The sequence below is a fragment of the Homo sapiens genome, chromosome X, assembly GCF_000001405.40.
Source record: "Homo sapiens chromosome X, GRCh38.p14 Primary Assembly".
Taxonomy (NCBI): Eukaryota; Metazoa; Chordata; class Mammalia; order Primates; family Hominidae; genus Homo; species Homo sapiens.
In genome coordinates, this window is record NC_000023.11 from 92,258,945 (window position 1) to 92,279,158 (window position 20,214).

General features: G+C 39.6%; 1 protein-coding gene across 14 annotated transcripts in view, besides 1 other annotated feature; it reads left to right on the forward strand.

The window, feature by feature from the left end:
• The window catches only part of PCDH11X (protocadherin 11 X-linked), an 843,856-nt gene that overhangs the window by 479,570 nt on the left and 344,072 nt on the right, over window positions 1-20,214 (forward strand). For 8 of the 14 annotated variants that reach the window (XM_011530911.3, NM_032968.5, XM_011530910.1 and 5 more), the window contains one exon: window positions 4,170-4,199. The exons of the other annotated variants lie outside the window; for them this stretch is intronic. In XM_011530911.3, coding sequence (XP_011529213.1) covers window positions 4,170-4,199 — 30 coding nt within the window. The remainder of the gene's footprint in view (window positions 1-4,169; window positions 4,200-20,214) is intronic. 14 annotated transcript variants of the gene reach the window in all.
• Window positions 11,940-12,469: an enhancer, noted in NCBI's record as "OCT4-NANOG-H3K27ac hESC enhancer chrX:91525883-91526412 (GRCh37/hg19 assembly coordinates)". NCBI's record gives its function as "activates a minimal SCP1, AML or CMV promoter by ChIP-STARR-seq in naive H9 embryonic stem cells {active_cell/tissue: H9 hESC(naive)}" and the evidence as "EXISTENCE:reporter gene assay evidence [ECO:0000049][PMID:30033119]".

Sequence of the window (20,214 nt, forward strand, 5' to 3'; positions counted from 1 at the left end):
ATTAGAGCACAGGCACAATGCTGCCAGGTTCTTTGCTAGTGCATAATAAAGGTAACCTTTGCTCCAGATCTCAATAAGCTCCTCATCTCTGAGGCCTCATCAGCTTGGCTATCTGTGTCCATATCACCATCAGTAATTTGGTCACAACAATTTAACAAGTCTCTAGGAATTTCCAAATTTTCCCTCATCTTCCTTTCTTCTGCTGAGCCCTCCACAGTCTTCCAACCTCTGCCTGTTACCAAATTCCAAAGCTGCTTCAACATTTTCAGGTATCTTTGTTACAATGTCCCACTCCTTGTACCAATTTTCTGCGTGAGTCCATTCTTGCATTGCTATAAATAAATATCGGAGACTGGGTGATTTATAAAGAAAAAAGGTTTAACTGGCTCACAGTTATGAAAGCTGTATAGGAAGCTTAGTGGCTACTGCTTCTCAGGAAGCCTCAGGAAACTTACAATCATGGTGGAAGGCAAAGGGGTAGCAGCACTTCACATAGTTAGAGAAGAACCAAGAGAGAGGGGAAGTTGCTACACAGTTTTAAAAGAACCAGATCTCATGATAACTCACTCACTATCATGAGAACTGCACTGAGGGGATGGTGCTAAACCATTCACAAGAACGCCATTTCCATGATCCAATCACTTCCCATCAGGCCCCACCTCCAACAATGGGGATTACAATTCATCATGAGATTTTGGTGAGGACTCAGATCCAAACCATATCACCTTTTATCTGTCACAGCTGGTAATGCTCTGAGTCTCACTAGAAGCCAGCAAGTGTCAGCATCTCACCCAAGGTCCTTGATGTAGTACCTGGGTATCACTGCTGGTTATTCAGGGCCCAAGGGCTCTTCAGTTAGTAGGTGATAAAAACTGCCAGGATCGGGTCCTTTCCTTCAAGGCAGCAGATACTCTTATTTCCCAAGGTGTGTCTAGAAATATTGCTGGGGAGTTAGGGCCTGGAACGGGTGCACCACAGCTGTGACAGTTGCCGTGTCTTCCTCTGTCTGAACTAGTTTCCAAGATGCAAGACAAAGTCCTCCGCATTCTTCCCTCTTCTCTCCTCAAGTGGAAGTGATCTCCTTTGGTGCCATGAGCTGTGCAGCCTGGGGTTAGGGGATCAGTGATGCCAACCCTCCTTTATCCTCCCCAGCTTGTGTCTCGGTAGGTTGTGTGCCCCTCAGCCCACTGTCTCTGGGCCTAATTCAGCACTAGGACTCACCTAAGAGTTGCAGTCCTTATGGCTTAGACTGCCTTTCAAGTTTACTTGAAGACACAGAGTGCTGTAGCCATAGGTGGCGATGTTTGCAGGAACTGAAGTTTGTACCACTAGGATTGGTGATTCCCCTCTGGCTAGGGCTGGTTTAAATGCTCCCTCTGTGGGAGGGCGTCGGCTGAGTTTTTTCTGGTTTTCCTTTCTGTTTTAACAAAACAGCACTGAGTTCGGTGCCTCACAATTGCTGTGTTCTCCCTCCCCCAGCACCCGGAGATGCTCTCTGCATCATGCCTCCTCTGCCTGGGGTTGGGGAATGGTAGCATCAGCGATTCAGGACTGTTTTTTTCTATCGCTCCAATGCCTCTTTCAGGGATACATAGTTAAAACTAGGTATTATGAGGGCACACCTGATTTTTGGTTCTCATGAAGGTGTTTTTTTTTTCTGTGTAGACAGTTGTTAAATTGTTTTCCTTTTTGGGGCAACTATCAGTGGAACTTTCTATTTCACCATCTTGCTCTGCCTCCACTCTCTCATTACTTATTTTGGACATTACATTCTGTCCCTCTTTTTCATTAGTTGTATTCAATAGCTCTGTCAATCTAGAAATTTAGATGCAGTAAGGGAAGTATTCACCTGTTGGTGGTAAGTGTTAGAATTTATTCACACCAGGAGGTAAATAAGAACATACGACACAACATGACTAATGTATATTGTGCAAAAACTGAGCCAATAGACATTCAGATGCAATAACTTTTCTCCCACTCCTCACTATATATAATTTAATTTGGGCAAATATTTTGTTAATGTAATGTTGCCTGTTCAGGGCCAGTTTATAAATAAGAGTATAAAAATCCATATCTCTATTAAAACAGGAGTTGCTTTTCATCATGTTTTTTCCCCTTCCAGCATTGATTTTTTTTTTAATGTTTCTATAATCAAATCGGGTATCAATTTACCCAGCTACTTGCCTGCTTGCCAATATATTTCTGTACTTTCTTTTTATTCTAATGCTTGTTTAGTAGGCATGCACTAGAAGCTACTCATTTGACAGATTGTGTTGTGTCTGTGTGGTGTGGATAAGTGTAAAGACTATCGTTTTAATATTTCCCACATTATCTATTTTAGGCTTTTCTCAATAGAAATTGTCAAACAAGGGCAAAAGTAGCACAGCATAAACAATTCTCTTAATGAAAATATACAATTTAGGGAAATAAATACATTCTGGAGTTGTTCTTTTTCAGTAAAATGATAAGGAAAGGAAATGCTCACCCCAACTTCTTCATTAGCTTAAATGTTGGTTAAGTCATTAACTTTTCAATAATTCATGAAATAATTTACCAAGATAGATGTGTTTCACATTTTTAGATTTTCACTTTGCTCACTAAAAATTTTAATGCTTTTGGATTGCTTTGTGATAAGTGGTGAAACATCTAACATTAATCTATTGTGATTGTGAAAGTAATTTCTAATGAAACTAAAAAAAAATCTTTTGTGTTTCTATAAAACAGAAAATTAATTTTTTAATGTTATATTCTTAGATATGGCTAAAGTTTTGGTGATGTTATAGTCCTTGAGATTATTTCTTTTGGAAAGTTAAAAATTTTTATCTATTATTTAAGTGTATCATTCATAATAAGGAGAGATATAAATAGTGATTGTTTAAAGACAGAGAAATCCAAGGACACTTTCTTGGAAGAGATTACTCAAGGCATTATCCTCAGGCTATGCCTTCACAGAAAATTAAATTCTATCATTGAGCCATTGATGGTTGAATCTGATCGATGCAGAGAGATTATAAGAATATCTTGGGCTAACAACACTCGAAGTGGAAGGACAAGAAGCATACTTTATTTTCTTAGATAATAGGTTTGTGCCTATATCTGAATGCTTATCTCAATTTCAATTTTGTAAACTCAAGTTATGTTAAAATGATAGAAAAAAATATACTTTCTTGGTCTGGGAATAAGCCACTGGATAAAAAAAAAAATGGAGAAAGCATGCATCCTCTTACTATGTTGACTCTATTTCTCTTAGTATTTACCCTTATTTCAGATTCAAGCCTACTCTCTTGACAATTTTCTGTGATTCTTTGTATTCAAGAAGACTCTATAAGGAACTTTTGCATAACTGTAAAAAGAACAGGGAATTAAGATAAAGATTGCGGAGAACAGACTTTCAGGAGCATCATTAGCTGGAAATGTTGACATTTGATTCACTTTTAATTCAGTAACTTAATCCTCTACAAAGGAGAATGAATCCAAAAGGACAAATGGTCTATATGCTTCTGGTATCTTAAAAAGTAACTTAACCTGTCTCCTGAAAGTGGTTGAGGGAGAAAAAAAAGTCTTAAATAAAATGAAAAGAATGACTTCCGTGATGATATTAAAAAGGATTTAGTTGAACAGAGTTGATTTAAGATGCCCCTATGAACAACAGAAACTATTGATTTAAAATTCAGCAATAATATCCCAATGCTGTATAAACATCTCTTATGTTTACCCCCAAATCATTAATTTTCAATGAGCCTAGTTTTTCTCATTTCAATTAAAAAATGTGTTTATGCTTGAAATAAAGGCCCATTCATTTAAAAATGGATAGAAAATAAGTGACACCATAACAGAATATCTAATTGGAAGGGTGCCTTTTCTTGGTTAATGCGTAAGTGAGCTAAGCATATATTTTTTGTGCCAATTGAAATTTTGTATGTGGCTCTTCATATTTTTGCACAAGATTTACAATGCTGTTATATCCCTTTACTCAAACCACTGAAGAATGTAGGAGATGAAAGTAGTTTCAGCAGAAAAACAAAGCTGTGTACCATTGCACTGGGAATGTTGACATGCTTTTTTTTCAAAAAAAAAAAAAATGTATTTGCAGTAACCAAATTTGAGCTGATTTTTGTTTTTGTTTTATTTTCCTTTGCTTCCCTTGCCTCCATTTTATCCTAAATCAGCGGAAATCTGAAGGGAAAGTGGCAGGAAAGGTAAGACTGCAAATTTCAAAGAAAATTGATTTTGAAATGTTGTGTTTATACTGTGTGAAGCTACAGTAGTTAGTCCATGGAGTTAAAACTGTAAGTACTTAGGATAACATATGTTATGGTTCTACTTTAAAAGAGAGTCAAGCTGAGCTGTTTTCACATTTTGTATCGCACAGTTCTGGAAACAATTTCGAGTCTCGTTTTATTTTATTTTCCCCCAATACTTTCTTTTCCCACTATGCCAAAACAACATACTGTTGACAGCATCACTTTGTGAATGGTCTGATAATACAGTTATTTTATGATAAATGCTAACAATAAAAAAAGGAACAATTTTAGTGTCAATTCACATTTTAGCAGTGACAGCAGAAAGTTAGTGAATATAAATCATGATATTTGATAGGGTCACAGAGAAGAATTATATAACTAAACATGGTTAATAGGCAAAATGATGATCTCAGAGAAACTGGGTTTTGGAATGTCATCCTTCAATGCGAAAATTTTAAGTTCTGCTCAAGTATAGGATGGTTCAAAAGTAATTGTGGTTTTTGCCATTAAAAGTTATTGTGAAAACCACAATTACATTTGCACCAACCTAATGTATATGAACAGTCCAGACTTCTAGAAAAATTTGTGTTTCTATTGTTAAACAAATAAACTATCTCATACATATTGTTAAATAACTTCACTAGTTAAACTGTACTACCACTAAAAATAAAGTTTTCCAGTTGTTTATTAACATTTCTTTCCTAGCATTTATGCCTTAGTTTCTTATTATGTTTTGAGGTTTAAAGAAATCAATTTCCCTTAAATTTCTGACAGAAGACGTTTTGAATATTAAATTCAGTAAGCCTTAAATGCTATCCATATTAGGCACCAGAATCTTATCTTTGCTGTTGCTAAGTTAAATATATATAATCTTAAAGATGAATTATCTTATTCTAGCTTAAGAAACCACACTTTACGTTTGAAAAAGCACTTGCCAGAGAGTTGTCTAAGCTATGCCGGAAAGTAATCTGTTCACCTTGGATGTCTTTATCAAGTGTGAGAATTAATGGAAAATGGAGTTTGAATACAATGCCAAAAGGGATTTTCATTAATGTTTGAGAGATAAACTAAAATAACAGCATCAGAGAGTTGTAAATCAATATATCTTTCGGAGTGCTTTCAATTGCCTCTCTGAATCATACTGAGTATCACTGTGGCCTTGGAGTGATGAATTTTTGAAAGTCAGCTCCTCCCAGAAGACAAAAGTTCATAGACAAGATCTCCAGTTAAAAGGAAGGAAGCAAGGGTAGTAAAATGTCACTGGCTGCTACTATGTACAGTGTGATTATATGTGTGTGTGTGTGTATAAAACATGTATTTATATTATATTATGTGTATATTTAGAGAAAGGGAGAGAGAGAATGAAAGAGAGAGAAGATCTACAGATTTGGGGATTTTGTGTTCTAACATTCTTAACCATTCTGGTGAATTTGGAAATGAACTTGTGGCTCAGTTAGTTCAACATTGAAATGTTGAAGAAGAGGAATGTTGGAAATATTTTTCTAGCTTAGTGAATATAAATAAGGACATGTCTTTGTTTTACAAGTTAGGCTCCTGCATATAGAACTCTGGGAAGAACCTATGTTCCAGGTCAGGAAACTCTTAAGTCATGACATTTCAACATAAAACAGTTCAACATGTAAATAATCGACATAAGGACCAATGGAAAAAGAGGTTCTTAGTGAAGGACAATTTTTTTTTTTTTTTTTGTCAAATAAAACAAATCTGGACAGACATAGAGAGAGACTTTGTTCAGAAGAAAGAATATTGCAATAGGGAGAAGGTTATGACGTTAAAAATCTGCAAGGATCTCAAAATTCAACAGAAAATGCTTTTCTTTATAAGGTCAAGAAGGGTAAGCAAGCAGAGATAAGCAGAATCTTTTTTGGAGGTAGGGGATGGGGTCTCGCTCTGTTGCTCAGGCTGGAGTGCAATGGCACGATGGATCACAGCTCACTGCAGCTTTGAACTCCCAGGCTCAACTATTTCTCCCACCCCAGCCTCCCAAAGTGCTGGGATTATGTGTGTGAGCCACCGCACCCGGCCGATAAGCAGAATCTTTAAAGAGGAAGCTGGACCAACAAGAGAGTGGGCCCAAAAGTATCTGTTGTCATCTGATTTCCTGAGAAGCTAATGATTGGGACACATTCCACTTTTTTTAGTGGTTGCTCAGGTTTGATGTCAAGCCGAGCTCAGGGGCCCGTGGGAAGGCGAAAATCCTGACAAAATTTGGGTTAAAACACAGCAGAGAGTTAAAAATGGGCAACTGTGAAGTTTATTATTTTTTTCACTAGCTTTTTTAAAATAAAGTAAGCATAATAAAAAAAACATACAAATCTGCTTACTCTGTTCCAAGCGCTCTATGTTTGTGCATGTGTGTATACATATACATATATGTGTGTATGTATATAGGTATGCGTACATATATATAGGAATGTGTATACACATATATATACACAGTTAATCTTCACAATAATCCTGTAGGCTATTTTACAGATGAGGAATGGTGATACATCGAGCTTAAGTGGCTTGCCTAAGGTTACAGAGCTCACAAGTAGAAGAGCCAGGGTTTGAACTCAGGCAATCTGTCTCCAGAAATTCTCTCTTTAAAAAGATAACAACTTGGAATCGTAAAACAAATACTTTCTTTATATTAAAATAAGTGTTTTCATTGTGTTTTAGAAGTAACATTTAATATATTTAACGTTATAAAGGTGCTAAAGATGTTTCTGGAATAGTAATTTTTAAAAAGTTACTTCTGTCAACTACAATAATGCTACAGACCCATCATTAACTCATTTTTACTAGTCTATATACATTCCATACATTGCCTAATATAATACTGTTAATGTATACTATGGAGATTAGGTCTGTGCTCTGGTGTCCTTTATTTTTGGTTCATTGCATTTATGTATACCTTTTGAAGGGTATTTTGGATATTAAATTCAAGAAGCTATAAACTTTAAATATATTAAGTGTCAGAATATTCATTAACTTGGGATTTATTGCAAATGTTTCTATAAAAAGTTAAATTCATTTCTTGAACTCCTGAACTTCACCTTTTTAGTCTTTTTATGAATTATAAAATATGGCTTTTATGTTCAGTTTAATTCAGAGTATGGGAAAGTATAAGGTTCTCGCATTTGTAAAAAAGTAAGGCAACACATTATCTTAGCTAAGAATGAAGTATCTAGATGAATTCTTTATCTTTTAGAGTCTAAAACATCAAAGAAGAAGATAATTTCTCAATGATTTCTCTAGATTTAAGTGTAAATGACTTCAAAGTACTCACCAAATAGGACCTATATTTAGATTTCAAATCAGAGGTTTAAGTTACAAAGATAGACACTTTTTCTACCCCCTCTTAAAAAATTATGTTATATTTCGTAGATAAGCTAGTGGCATTCACAGCAGAAAAGAAGCAAATGCCACATGTCATAGTTCATTCATTCTTTAACCAGTTGTTATCCATGTGGTTAATTACTAATTAGGAGGAAAAACAAATTTCAACACATGGCCACTTGTAATTGAATAGTGTAAGCAGTACTTATTTTCTTTTTTTTTTTTTTATGTGGAGACAAAGTCTTGCTCTTGACCCCAGGCTGGAGTGCAATGGCATGATTTCGGCTCACTGCAACCTCTACCTCCCAGGTTCAAATGATTCTCCTGCCTCAGCCTCCCGATTAGCTGGGATTACAGGCGCCTGCCACCACGCCTGGCTAATTTTTGTATTTTTAATAGAGACGAGGGTTCACCATGTTGGCCAGGCTGGTCTCGAACTCCTGACCTCCAGTGATCTGCCCACCTTTTCCTCCCAAAGTGCTGGGATTACAGGTGTGAGCCACTGCACCCGGCCTACTTATTTTCAACTAAAAAGGGAATTACAGTTTTTTGAATCTGGTTAATAGTTTTTGAAATTTCCTCGTATGAATACAAACTGCTCTTTTTATTCAATCTACCAGCTTTCCCTTATTTAGCATTAACCTGAACATTTCCATGTAGACATTTTTTTCAAGATCCCTTCCCACTTTGGCTTAGCCTGAGACTAAATTGCCCTTAGGGTTTGCACAAATGGCCAGGCTTGTTAAAGAGAATGTTCACTAAAGTGCTAAACTGAATATGGCAGAAACAGAACTGACTGAGATTCTCCGAGGAGTATATTTCCGATTTCTCTATATCTGCCTGAGGTAAATTAAAAAGCAGATTCTTTTAGACTCACGTAATGGATAATAGAAAGAGTAGCTATAGTAGCAAAGCAAGTAAAAGCCATTCTCTGTCATTGGCCAGACTACTGACATTTGTGCAATCATTTGCTCCAAGGCTACATGAAGATGAGGGGAGCAGTGAAATTGTTTGATCCAACATGTATTAAAATACCCATTTTGCTGGTGTCTCCAAGGTATTGCTTCATTTGCTGTTTTGTACAACAGTGCAGACGTGTTTGGAGGTTCCTGCTTCAGAAATTCTCCTAAAAGCATAATTTAGAATTTTGAATGCAGAATGGCACTATCTTAGCTCATTTTCTGTTGCTATCACAGAATACCACAGACTGTGTAATTTATAAACTAAGAAATGTATTTCTTACAGTGCTGGAGGCTGGGAAGTCCAATATCAAGGTACCAGCATCTGCTGAGGACCTTCTTGTTGCATCATAACATGGTGGAAGGCATCACATGGTGTGAAGGCAAGAGTGTGTGTATCAGCTTAGGTGTCTCTTGTACTTATAAAGCTACTAATCCCGTCATGGGGTCCCTACCCTAATGACTTTATCTAATTCTAATGGCCCCCAAAAGGCCCCATCTTCCATCAATGTGTGAATTTGGGGATTACATTTCTAACACATAAAATTTGGGAGACATATTCAAACCATAGCAGTAACACTGAGATTTTTTCAGTTATCTAAATAAAACAAATTCTAATGGTATATTTCTGAAGAGATACATTTTCATGTCTTATTTTAGAGAAGGATTATTTTCCTATATTACTTTTTGGACTATTATGATCTAGCAAATGCATGAGGCTAAATCTGCATGATTATAAATGCTATTTCTTCTGTTTCTTTTGCCAGTTTTCCTTATTAAACATTCAGTTTAGTGTTATTAGTATGTTTTGTTTTTTTTTTAAGACAGAGTCTCACTCTGTCACCAAGCTGGAGTAGAGTGGTGTGATCCCAGCTCACTGCAACCTCTGCCTCCCAGGTTTAAGCAATTCTCCTGTCTCAGCCTCCCGAGTAGCTGGGATTACAGATATGTGCCACCACGCCCAACAATTTTTTGTATTTTTTAGTAGAGACGGGGTTTCACCATGTTGGCCAGGCTGGGTGTAATTAGTATTATGAAAAATTAAATCACACTAAGAGCTCTAATTTAGCATTACCACCTAAGGAAACTAATTCCCCTTCATCCTACATATGTTCTATAGATATGCTCTTCTAGGGACATTGTACTGCAGGTACACTGTGAAGCCTTTCATAGGGTCTTAACAGCTTCTTGCTTTGGAACAGATTATTTATTTAACTCAATGGTAATGGCTGAAAATTTGATCAGTGGCAAAAAATATCAGATAATGTAAAGGACACTTTGATCTTTTGGGATTCTCCATCTATGCTAGTGTCATGCTTGTTCAAGACTTACACTTATCAGCCAGGCACAGTGGCCGATAACATCAGTCTGGCCAACCTCGTCTCTACTAAAAATACAAACTGGCATTCAGTGTTACAACTGTTAATGTAGCCATCACCACAGGTGAATATCAGTTTTGTTTTACATCTTTGTATACTACATTTCTCAATTCTGTGGTTCTTATATGTACATATGTGCATTCCCTGGATCTTATATTCATATGATTTCAAGGTCTCCATAATTTTGAGCATAGTCCTCCCTTTTTAAGTTCACCAGTTTATTAACTGCTTTATATTATCCTGTCTGGTTAACTTGAGCTTTCCATTCAGTAGGTTCTCCAATTACTCAGTCCCTCTCCATTTTACCCACTTGATAAAATTCCTTCCCGGTTATATTTATCATTCTGTCTCATCATTGTTATCCTTGGTTTCTCTGTTTGGAGTGCCAGTTTCCAACTGTAGATTACCCTTGTAGAATGTATTCTTCACAGCCACTGAGCACATTTAGGTAGAAAAATTAAAAAATCAAAAAAATTATACTGAAGATTTAGCTCACTACACATTAATAGTACTAAGTTTCAGTTGGGATCTAGCTATTGTTCTGAAATATTTTTATTCTCCTCTCATTATCTTTCTATCCCATGCTTTGAATGACTTTCCAAAGCTTTTCAACTATTTTCGAATTTCTTTCACAATTTCCAGCCCTGAATTACCAGCAGATTACTTGAAATCCTACTATCCTAAGATAGAAACAATTTTTGTAACCTCAATACATTTCTGAGTTCCTTTCTAGCCTCTCATTTATTCCCTCTGAAATCTTGAAATATCTAGCTCTTTAGTCCCTTCCTAAATGCCACTGCCCTTTTATATTTAAAAATATGTAAAAGTCATTTGTCAATAAAAAAATATATAAAATAAAAAGGCCTCCCCTTAAGTCAGCTACCCTTGCTAGATATTGATGTAATTCACTACTAAATTGAAGGGCTCATCTCCCCGCTATTAACTACATTTTCTCACCACATATTCCTTGCTATAATTAATTACATTCCCCTCCTGATTAAAGTATAACCCTTTTATAATTTGGGCAAGATTTTTCTGCTTCCTACATCCAAACTTTCTGTTACATTTGATATTTTAACCACTGCTTTTCTCTCGACTTTTCTGGAAATTTTTCTTCCATAAAACCTTCTGTGATCTCTTTTAATCATTTGTATACATAAATATAATGATCACACCTAGATTGTAACTTCATGTTCATTAAGTACATATTCCTTCTGTATCTTTCAATTCCTAGCTTCCTTTTCTTTTTTTTTTTTTTTCTTTTTGAGACTCGCTCTGTCCCCTGGCTGGAGTTCAATGGTGCCATCTCAGCTCACTGAAACCTCAGCCTCCCAGGTTTGAGTGATTCTCTTGCGTCAGGCTCCTGTTCCAAGTAGCTGGGATTACAGGCGCCCACCACCAAGCCCGGCTAGTTGTTTTTTGTGTGTGTGTTTTTAGTAGAGATGGGGTGTTACCATGTTGGCCAAGCTGGCCTCGAACTCCTGACCTCAAGTGATCTGCCCTCCTCAGCCTCCCAAAGTGCTGGGATTACAGGCGTGAGCCAACTGTGTCCAGCCAAACCACAGGATGTTCTTAACATATCAGCCCTCCACTCAAGAGTTCCCTTCATTGGTCACCAATTTGTAAACCAGAAAGTATCTGAAACAGGCCTCAATCAATTTAGAAGTTTACTTTGCCAATGTGAAGGACATGCCTAGGAGGGAGGTCTGTGCTTTTCTCCAAAGATGATTTTGAAGGCTTTGATATTTAAAGGGGAAGAGCTGGCTGGAGGGGAAAGAGGGAGGATACGGTCTCATTATGGAATCCACATGTTGTAAGCAAAAGGAACAAGTAGGGGAATAGTCAATTATATATTATTCTCAAACTCAGTAAATCAGCAGTTTACCTAAGATAAGGTGAACATGGAGTAGCTATCTATGGAGCTATTTAACCTTTTATCTGTAGCTATCTGCTTAGGAACAAAAAGAAAGTCAGTTTCTTGCATGACTCAGCTTTGAGCTTAATTTTTTCCTTTTGGCATAGTGAATTGGGCTCCCATGTTTTTATTTTCCATTCCCAGAAGATAATCCAGAGAAATGAGTAAATCCCTAGAGTAGATCTCAAAGAGTTGTCTTAAACTTCAGGCTTAACTACCGCGATTCTCTGAAGCAAAGAAAGAAGGGTGTGGGGAAAGGTGCAGTTAAGATAAGATAGCCAGAAAAAAACACCATGAAACAAAGGTAATGTTTGTTGTGCAGATTTAAGTCAATGCCTTCTTCACTGGTTAAGAATCTCCAGTAATTCAGTTCTCTTTTTCTTCCTGGTGCAGGGAGGGAACACCCTTACAAATGGAGATTTCCTTTATAGCTGTAAATTTCTTTTACAAAACGGTAACTTCTCAGAAATTCTTCTGTCTGCAGTTCCTCAAAATGACAGCTCTAAAGAAATCTTTGTGTCAATGAGGCATATTTTGAGGTAACGTATTGTTAACAGTGCAGGATGTTCAGGTTCTTGGCATCTTGAACAAAGAATTGCAAAAAAGGCACAAACAAAGCAAGAAAGGGACGAAGGGGTTTAGTGAAAATGAAAGTACACTCCATAATGTGGGACTGGGCCTAAGCATAGGGGCTCAAAGGTCCCGTTACAGATTTTTGGAGGGGTTTAAGTACCCCCAAGAGAACCTCATTAGTTACTTGGGGCATGCCCTATGTAAATGGAGAGGATGAAGTAAGTTATAAAGTCATTTACTTGGCCTACTCCCTATGGAGAGAATATTTCCTGTCATAGATGAAGTGTGAATCAGACTTATGTTCCCTGATTCCAGATCCTATTTTCCTGCTTCAATATTCTTGTCTCTTACAGTCATATTTTGGCGTGGAATATCCTGAACCTCATCATCATGCTCTTTTGCAATGATGCTGGCTTTCCATAATATTTTTATATCCATAATTGTGTAAGCTTTATAGTAATTAAAGTACTAGAATTTTAATTTAGTCTTTCAAGCATGAAGAACTCTTTATTATCCTAAAGACAATTTATTTCATATATGTCCCTTAAGCATTATGATTTAAAGACTAGAACAAGTATTTATTAATGTCCAGAGAAATGGTATCAGGAGATCAGACTCATGGAGGCGGATGAAATTTGACAATACATGATGGTATTGATTCAGTATCTTTTCTGTTTTTATGACAAAGTATCTGGATGTAAAAGTGGATGGAAAAGTATCTCGACATAAAATATAAATGGAGTCCTCAGTAGTAGTGACTTAGATGTCTGCTTTTTTTATCAAGGGCATTTATATTGGAAAGCTAAGAAAGTTTCTTCTGAACATGTGTTTCTCCAGTAAAGTTAGCCGGGGTTGCTGTGTCAGATATTGAGCCATTTATGAAAAAGGACTCTGATTTATAAATCTCATATTTTGTAACCCCTAAGTTAGATATATTATTTTTGGCATGTTTTCTTGTGTTCATTTACTTCTCATGTATTTGTTCCTCGTTATACATTTAATATTTAAGCTGGACAAGTCTCCTGCTTAACTCACAGGGATCTCACAGGCAAGCCTCTGACAATTAATTATCAGGTGGCATTTTACCAAAGGATTTTAAATATACTGGTCAATTGCCTAGCTCATTCCTTGAGGATCACTGTCAAACTAATCTTCCTCATTTATTTGAATTTTTTTATTGCTTAAAAGAAATTTCCAGAATTAATTTTTATGCTTTAAATTAGAGACAATAAAGTGGTAAATTCTGCAGTCTAATGTTGGGATATGGAGAATTAATATTTCAACAAGTCTTATAGGTTCCTGTAGCTTTTGTCTAACAAACCACTTGAAACCTAGTAAATATTTAATGAATATGTGTTGTCATTTATTTAACAAACATATGTGGAATGGTTTCTGTGTGTCAAATCTAGTGCTTGGTGATGAAGGTATCTAAAGGAATTGAGGTAGCACTTTGACATTCAAGGACCGCATTGTCTAGAAAGAAAAAGAGGTTGTAAACTAAAAATTCCATTTGATACAATTAGCTTAATTTCGTATAATAACCTACTATAGAATATCCTTCTTGAATAAAACTAAATTCCACTTACATATACTTAGATTCTCCATCTGGCTTACTCATTTAGGTGTAACAGCTTCCATAAATTCACTAACCTTTGTTTTAGATATATTATTTTCTTGTTTATGTTTGTGTTTTGCAGCATTTATATATTTATGTTCTGGTGGTCTCTTTCATGCGCATCCATGTGAAGAGACCACCAAACAGGCTTTGTGTGAGCAACATGGCTGTTTATTTCACCTGGGTGCAGGCGGGCTGAGTCCGAAAAGAGAGTCAGTGAAGGGAGATAGGGGTGGGGCTGTTTTATAGGATTTGGGAAGGTAATGGAAAATTACAGTCAAAGGGGGTTGTTCTCTGGTGGGCAGGGGCGGGGGTCACAAGGTGCTCAGTGGGGGAGCTTCTGAGCCAGAAGAAGGAAATTCACAGGGTTAATCACTCAGTTAAGGTGGGGTAGGAACAAATCACAATGGTGGAATGTCATCAGTTAAGGCGGGGCAGGGCCTTTTCACTTCTTTTGTGATTCTTCAGTTACTTCAGGCCTTCTGGTCCTTTCCGTGCAAGTCACAGGGGATGTGATGGCTTGGCTTGGGCTCAGAGGCCTGACATTCCTGCCTTCTTAATAAGAAAAATAAAATAGTGTTGAAGTGTTGGGGCGGTGAAAATTTTTGGGGGTGGTATGGAGAGAGAGTGGACGATGTTTCTCAGGGCTGCTTCAAGCGGGATTAGGGGCGGCGTGGGAACCTAGAGTGGGAGAGATTAAGCTGAAGGAAGATTTGTGGTAAGGGGTGATATTGTGGGGATGCTAGAAGAAACACATTTGTCGTGTAGAATTATTGGTGATGGCCTGGATACGGTTTTGTATGAACTGAAAAACTAAATGGAATAACAAAAGGAGAAAAACAGGTATAAAAGGTCTAAGAATTGGGAGGACCTAGGACATCTGATTAGAGAGTGCCTAAGGAGATTCAGCATAGTCCTGCCAGCAAAGATTACTTATTTACTTCAAGAGTTTAGAGTGGCAGTTTGGGGATAGCACCAGGAGATATCAGCTGTGATGGCTTGGAGAAACAGTGTAAACCGGCAGTGTCAACAAGAGCAGGGCATGTATGAGTAGCTGAGAATGGTGAATAGGAGTATGACTAGACAGAAGATAGTAGGGATGACAAGTTTTTTTGGGGCACAGTCTAAGTTGGTCTGGTGTCGAATGAGACTGGGGCCTAATAAAAAGGAGCGTCTATACAGGAGCTTAAATTGGCTGTACCTTGTAGCATTCTGAGGACAGGCCTGAATTCTGAGAAGCGAAAGTGGTAAAAGTATTGTCCAGTCCTCTTTAAGTTGGTGGCTGAGCTTGGTGAGGTGCGTTTTTAAAAGACCTTTAGTCCGTTCTACTTTTCTTGTAGACGGAGGACGGTAAGGGATATAATGGTTTCACTGAATACTAAGAGCCTGAAAAACTGCTTGGCTGATTTGACTAATAAAGGCTGGTCTGTTATCAGACTGTATTGAGGTGGGAAGGCTAAACGGAGGAATTATGTCTGACAGAACGGAAGAAATGACTGCGGTGGCCTTCTCAGACCCTGTAGGAAAGGACTCTACCTGTCCAGTGAAAGTGTCTACCTAGACTAAGAGGTATTTTAGTTATCTGACTCCGGACATGTTGAGTAAAGCTAATTTGCCAGTCCTGGGTGGGAGCAAATCCTCGAGCTTGATGTGTAGGGAAGGGAGGGGGCCTGAATAATCCCTGAGGAGTAGTAGAATAGCAGATGGAACACTGAGAAGTTATTTCCTTGAGGATAGATTTCCACGATGGAAAGGAAATGAGAGGTTCTGAGAGGCGGGCTAGTGGCTTGTACTATAGCATAGCCTGCCTTTGCTGGTGTGTGGCGATAAGGCCTGGTAGAACTGCCATCAATAAATCAAGCATGATCAGGGTGAGGAACAGGAAAGAAGGAAATATGGGGAAATGGGGTGAATATCAGGTGGATCAGAGAGATACAGTCATGGGGGTCAGGTGTGGTATCAGGAATAATGTGGGAGGCCAGTTTGAAGTCTGGGCCAGGAACAATGGTAATTGTGGGACTTAAAGAGTGAGTACAGCTGAAGGAGCCGGGGAGCAGAAAGTATATGCGTCAGTTATGAGGAAGAAAATAGATTTTGGAAGTTATGAGAAATGTAGAGAGTGAGTTGAGCATAGTTTGTGATTTTTAGGGCCTCTAACAGTATTAAAGCAGTGGCAGCCTCTGCACGCAGACCTGAGGGCTAGGCTAAAACAGTAAGGTCAAGTTATTTGGACAGAAAGGCTACAGGGTGTGGTCCTGGCTCTTGTGTAAGAATTCTGACCGCACTAACCATGCCTAGGAAGGAAAGGGTTGTTCTTTTGTAAGGGATTGAGGTTTGGGAGATTAATTGGACATGATCAGCAGGGAGAGCACGTGTGTTTTTATGAGAATTATGCCGAGATAGGTAACAGGTGAGGATAAAATTTGGACTTGACTGAAGTAATGGGGGCTGTCTGTGAAGCCTTGTGGCAGTACAGCCCAGGTAATTTGCTGAGCCTAATGGGTGTCAGGGTCAGTCTAAGTGAAGACAAAGAGAGGCTGGGATGAAGGGTGCAAAGGAATAGTAAAGAAAGCATGTTTGAGATCCAGAACAGAATAATGGGTAGTAGAGGGAGCTATTGAGGATAGGAGAGTATATGGGTTTGGCACCATGGGGTGGATAGGCAAAACAATTTGGTTGATAAGGCACAGATTCTGAACTAACTTGTAAGGCTTGTCTGGTTTTAGGACAGGTAAAATGGGGGAATGGTAAGGAGAGTTTATAGGTTTTAGAAGCCCATGCTGTAGCAGGCGAGTGATAACAGGTTTTAATCCTTTTACAGCATGCTGTGGGATGGGATATTGGTGTTGAGCGGGGTAAGGGTGATTAGGTTTTAATGAGATGGTAAGGGGTGCATGATCAGTCCCGAAGGAAGGAGTAGAGGTATTTTATACTTGTGGGTTAAGGTGGGGGAATACAAGAGGAGGATGCAAAGGAGGCTTTGGATTGGGAAGAAGGGCAGCAATGAGATGCGGCTATAGTCCAGGAATAGTCAGGGAAGCAGATAATTTGGTTAAAATATCTCAGCCTAATAAGGGAACTGGGCAGGTGGGGATAACTAAAAAAGAGTGCATAAAAGAGTATTGTCTCAGTTGGCACCAGAGTTGGGGAGTTTTAAGAAGTTTAGAAGCCTGGCTGTCAATACCTACAACAGTTATGGAGGCAAGGGAAACAGGCCCTTGAAAAGAAGGTAATGTGGAGTGGGTAGCCTCCGTATTGATTAAGAAGGGGACGGGCTTACCTTCCACTGTGAGAGTTACCTGAAGCTCGGCATCCGTGATGGTCTAGGGGCTTCCGAGGCGATCGGGCAGCATCAGTCTTTAGCCATTAAGCCAAGAAGGAGTCAGTCAGAGAGCCTTGGGCCAGAGTTCCAGGGGCTCTGGGAGTGGCTGCCAGGTGAGTTGAACAGTCCGATTTCCAGTGGGGTCCTGCACAGATGGGACACAGCTTAGGAGGAATCCTGGGCTGCAGGCATTCCTTGGCCTGGTGGTCAGATTACTGGCACTTGTAGCAAGCTCCTGGGGGAGGAGGTTCTGGAGGAATGCCTGGCTGCTGCAGTTCAGTCAGGCATTTGGAAGTTCTTGTGTGCTGGAGATGTGGCTGGGGTTTGTCTCACAGTGGAGGCAAGGAATTGCAAGTTTTTTCTATTATTGTACACCTTGAAGGTGAGGTTAATCAAGTCCTGTTGTGGGGTTTGACGGCCAGATTCTAATTTTTGGAGTTTTATTTAATGTCGGGAGCAGATTGGGTAATAAAATGTATATTGAGAATAAGATGGCCTTTTGACCTTTTAGGGTCTAGGGCTGTAAAGCTTCTCAGGGTTGCTGCCAAACGAGTCATGAACTGGGCTGGATTTTTATATTTGATGAAAAAGAGCCTAAACGCTATCTGATTTGGGATAAAGAGAAAGGAGCATTAACCTTGACTATGCCTTTGGCTCCAGCCACCTTTTTAAGAGTAAATTGCTGGGCAGGTGGGGGAGGGCTAGTCACGGAAAGAAACTGTAAGCTGGACCAGGTGTGAGGAGGGGAGGCGATAAAGAGATTATAGGGTGGAAGAATTGGGACCTAGCTCAGCCTGGCGAGGAGGGGAGAGGTCAGATGGGTCTGTAGAAAAGGAAGATTAGAAAGACTCAGTGACGCTTGGGGTTGGGACTGAGGGGACAGGCAGGAGGGAAAGAAGGAAGATTTGGGAGGAGTTGCACTGGGCACAGAGACTAGGAAGGGACTGATGTGTAAAAGAATGCCTGGATGTCAGGCACCTCAGACCATTTGCCTATTTTAAAACAAGAATTATTTAGATCCTGTAGGATGGAAAAATTGAAAGTGCCGTTTTCTGGCTATTTGGAACTACTGTCAAGTTTATATTGGGGTCAAGCGGCATTGCAGAAGAAAATAAGACATTTAGGTTTTAGGTCGGGTGTGAGTTGAAGAGGTCTTAAGTTTTTGAGAACACAGGCCAAGGGAGTAGAAGGAGGAATGGAGGGTGGAAGGTTGCCTATAGCGAAGGAAGCAAGCCTAGAGGAAAGAGAGAGTAGAGAAATGGAGGGAAGGGGTTTGGGGGTTCTTACCTTCTAGAAAAGTGGGAAAAGTGGTTGGGGCTCAGAGATAAGAGGTCGGGGCATGGAAATAAGGGATGGGGCACAGAAATAAGGGGTCAGGGCATGGAAATAAGGGGTCAGGGCACGGAAATAAGGGGTCGGGGCATGGAAATAAGGGATTGGGGCGCAGAGATACGAGGCTGGGGTACTTACCCCTCTAGAAAAGTGGGACTTGCCACTAACAGTGAAGGAGATGGGGTTGAAGGGTACTTGCCCCTCCCCCAGAAAAGCAGAGAAGAGATAGAGACAAGGAGAGAAGGGGTTGGGGTACTTGCCCCTTCCCCAGAAAAGCGGGACTTGCCGCTAAGGGTGAAGGACCAAGGCAGGCATCCCTGTGTCTTCTGACACCTTTGAAACATAGGTGAATAATCAGAGAGGCGTCCCTGCAATGATTAAACACCAAGGAAAGGCTGCCTTCCCTAGTCCGTGACCAGCGCTGGAGTTTTGGGTCCATGGATAAAACGTGTCTCCTTTGTCTCTACCAGAAAATGAAAGGAATTGAAATTAAGAGAAGGGAGAGATTGAAGTGTGGTTCCAAGATTGAAAGGAGAAAGAGGTTGAGGGATAGTGAGGGAGGTTGGAGAAGAGAGTAAAAAGAGGCCGCTTACCGGATTTGAAATTGGTGAGATGTTTCTTGGGCTGGTCGATCTGAGGACCTGAGGTCCTAGGTGGATCTTATGGAGCAAAAAGCAGGAGGACAGGGGATTGATCTCCTAAGGGAGGTCCCCCGATCTGAGTCACAGCACCAAATTTCATGCGTGTCCGTGTGAAGAGACCACCAAACAGGCTTTGTGTGAGCAACATGGCTGTTTATTTCACGTGGGTGCAGGCGGGCTGAGTCCGAAAAGAGAGTCAGTGAAGGGAGATAGGGATGGGGCCGTTTTATAGGATTTGGGAAGGCAATGGAAAATTACAGTCAAAGGGGGTTGTTCTCTGGTGGGCAGGGGCGGGGGTCACAAGGTGCTCAGTGGGGGAGCTTCTGAGCCTGGAGAAGGAAATTCACAGGGTTAATCACTCAGTTAAGGTGGGGCAGGAACAAATCACAATGGTGGAATGTCATCAGTTAAGGCGGGGCAGGGCCTTTTCACTTCTTTTGTGATTCTTCAGTTACTTCAGGCCATCTGGTCATATCCGTGCAAGTCACAGGGGATGTGATGGCTTGGCTTGGGCTCAGAGGCCTGACAGTCTCTTTTCAGTTTTTTTTTTTTTTTTTTTTTTGAGATGGAGTTTCACTGTTGTTGTTCAGGCTGGAGTGCAATGGTGCGATCTCAGGTCACTGCAACCTCCGCCTCCTGGGTTCAAGCGAGTCTCCTGCCTTAGCCTTCCGAGTAGCTGGGATTACAGGCGTGTGCCACCACGCCTGGCTAATTTTGTATTTTTAGTAGAGACAGGGTTTCTCCGTGTTGGTCAGGCTGGTCTCGAACTCCCGACCTCAGGTGATCCACCTGCCTCGGCCTCCCAAACTGCTGGGATTACAGGCGTAAGCCACCATGCCCAGCCTCTTTTTAGCTTTTGTCAGTCATATAAGCCATTGCATTTTTATTCTGT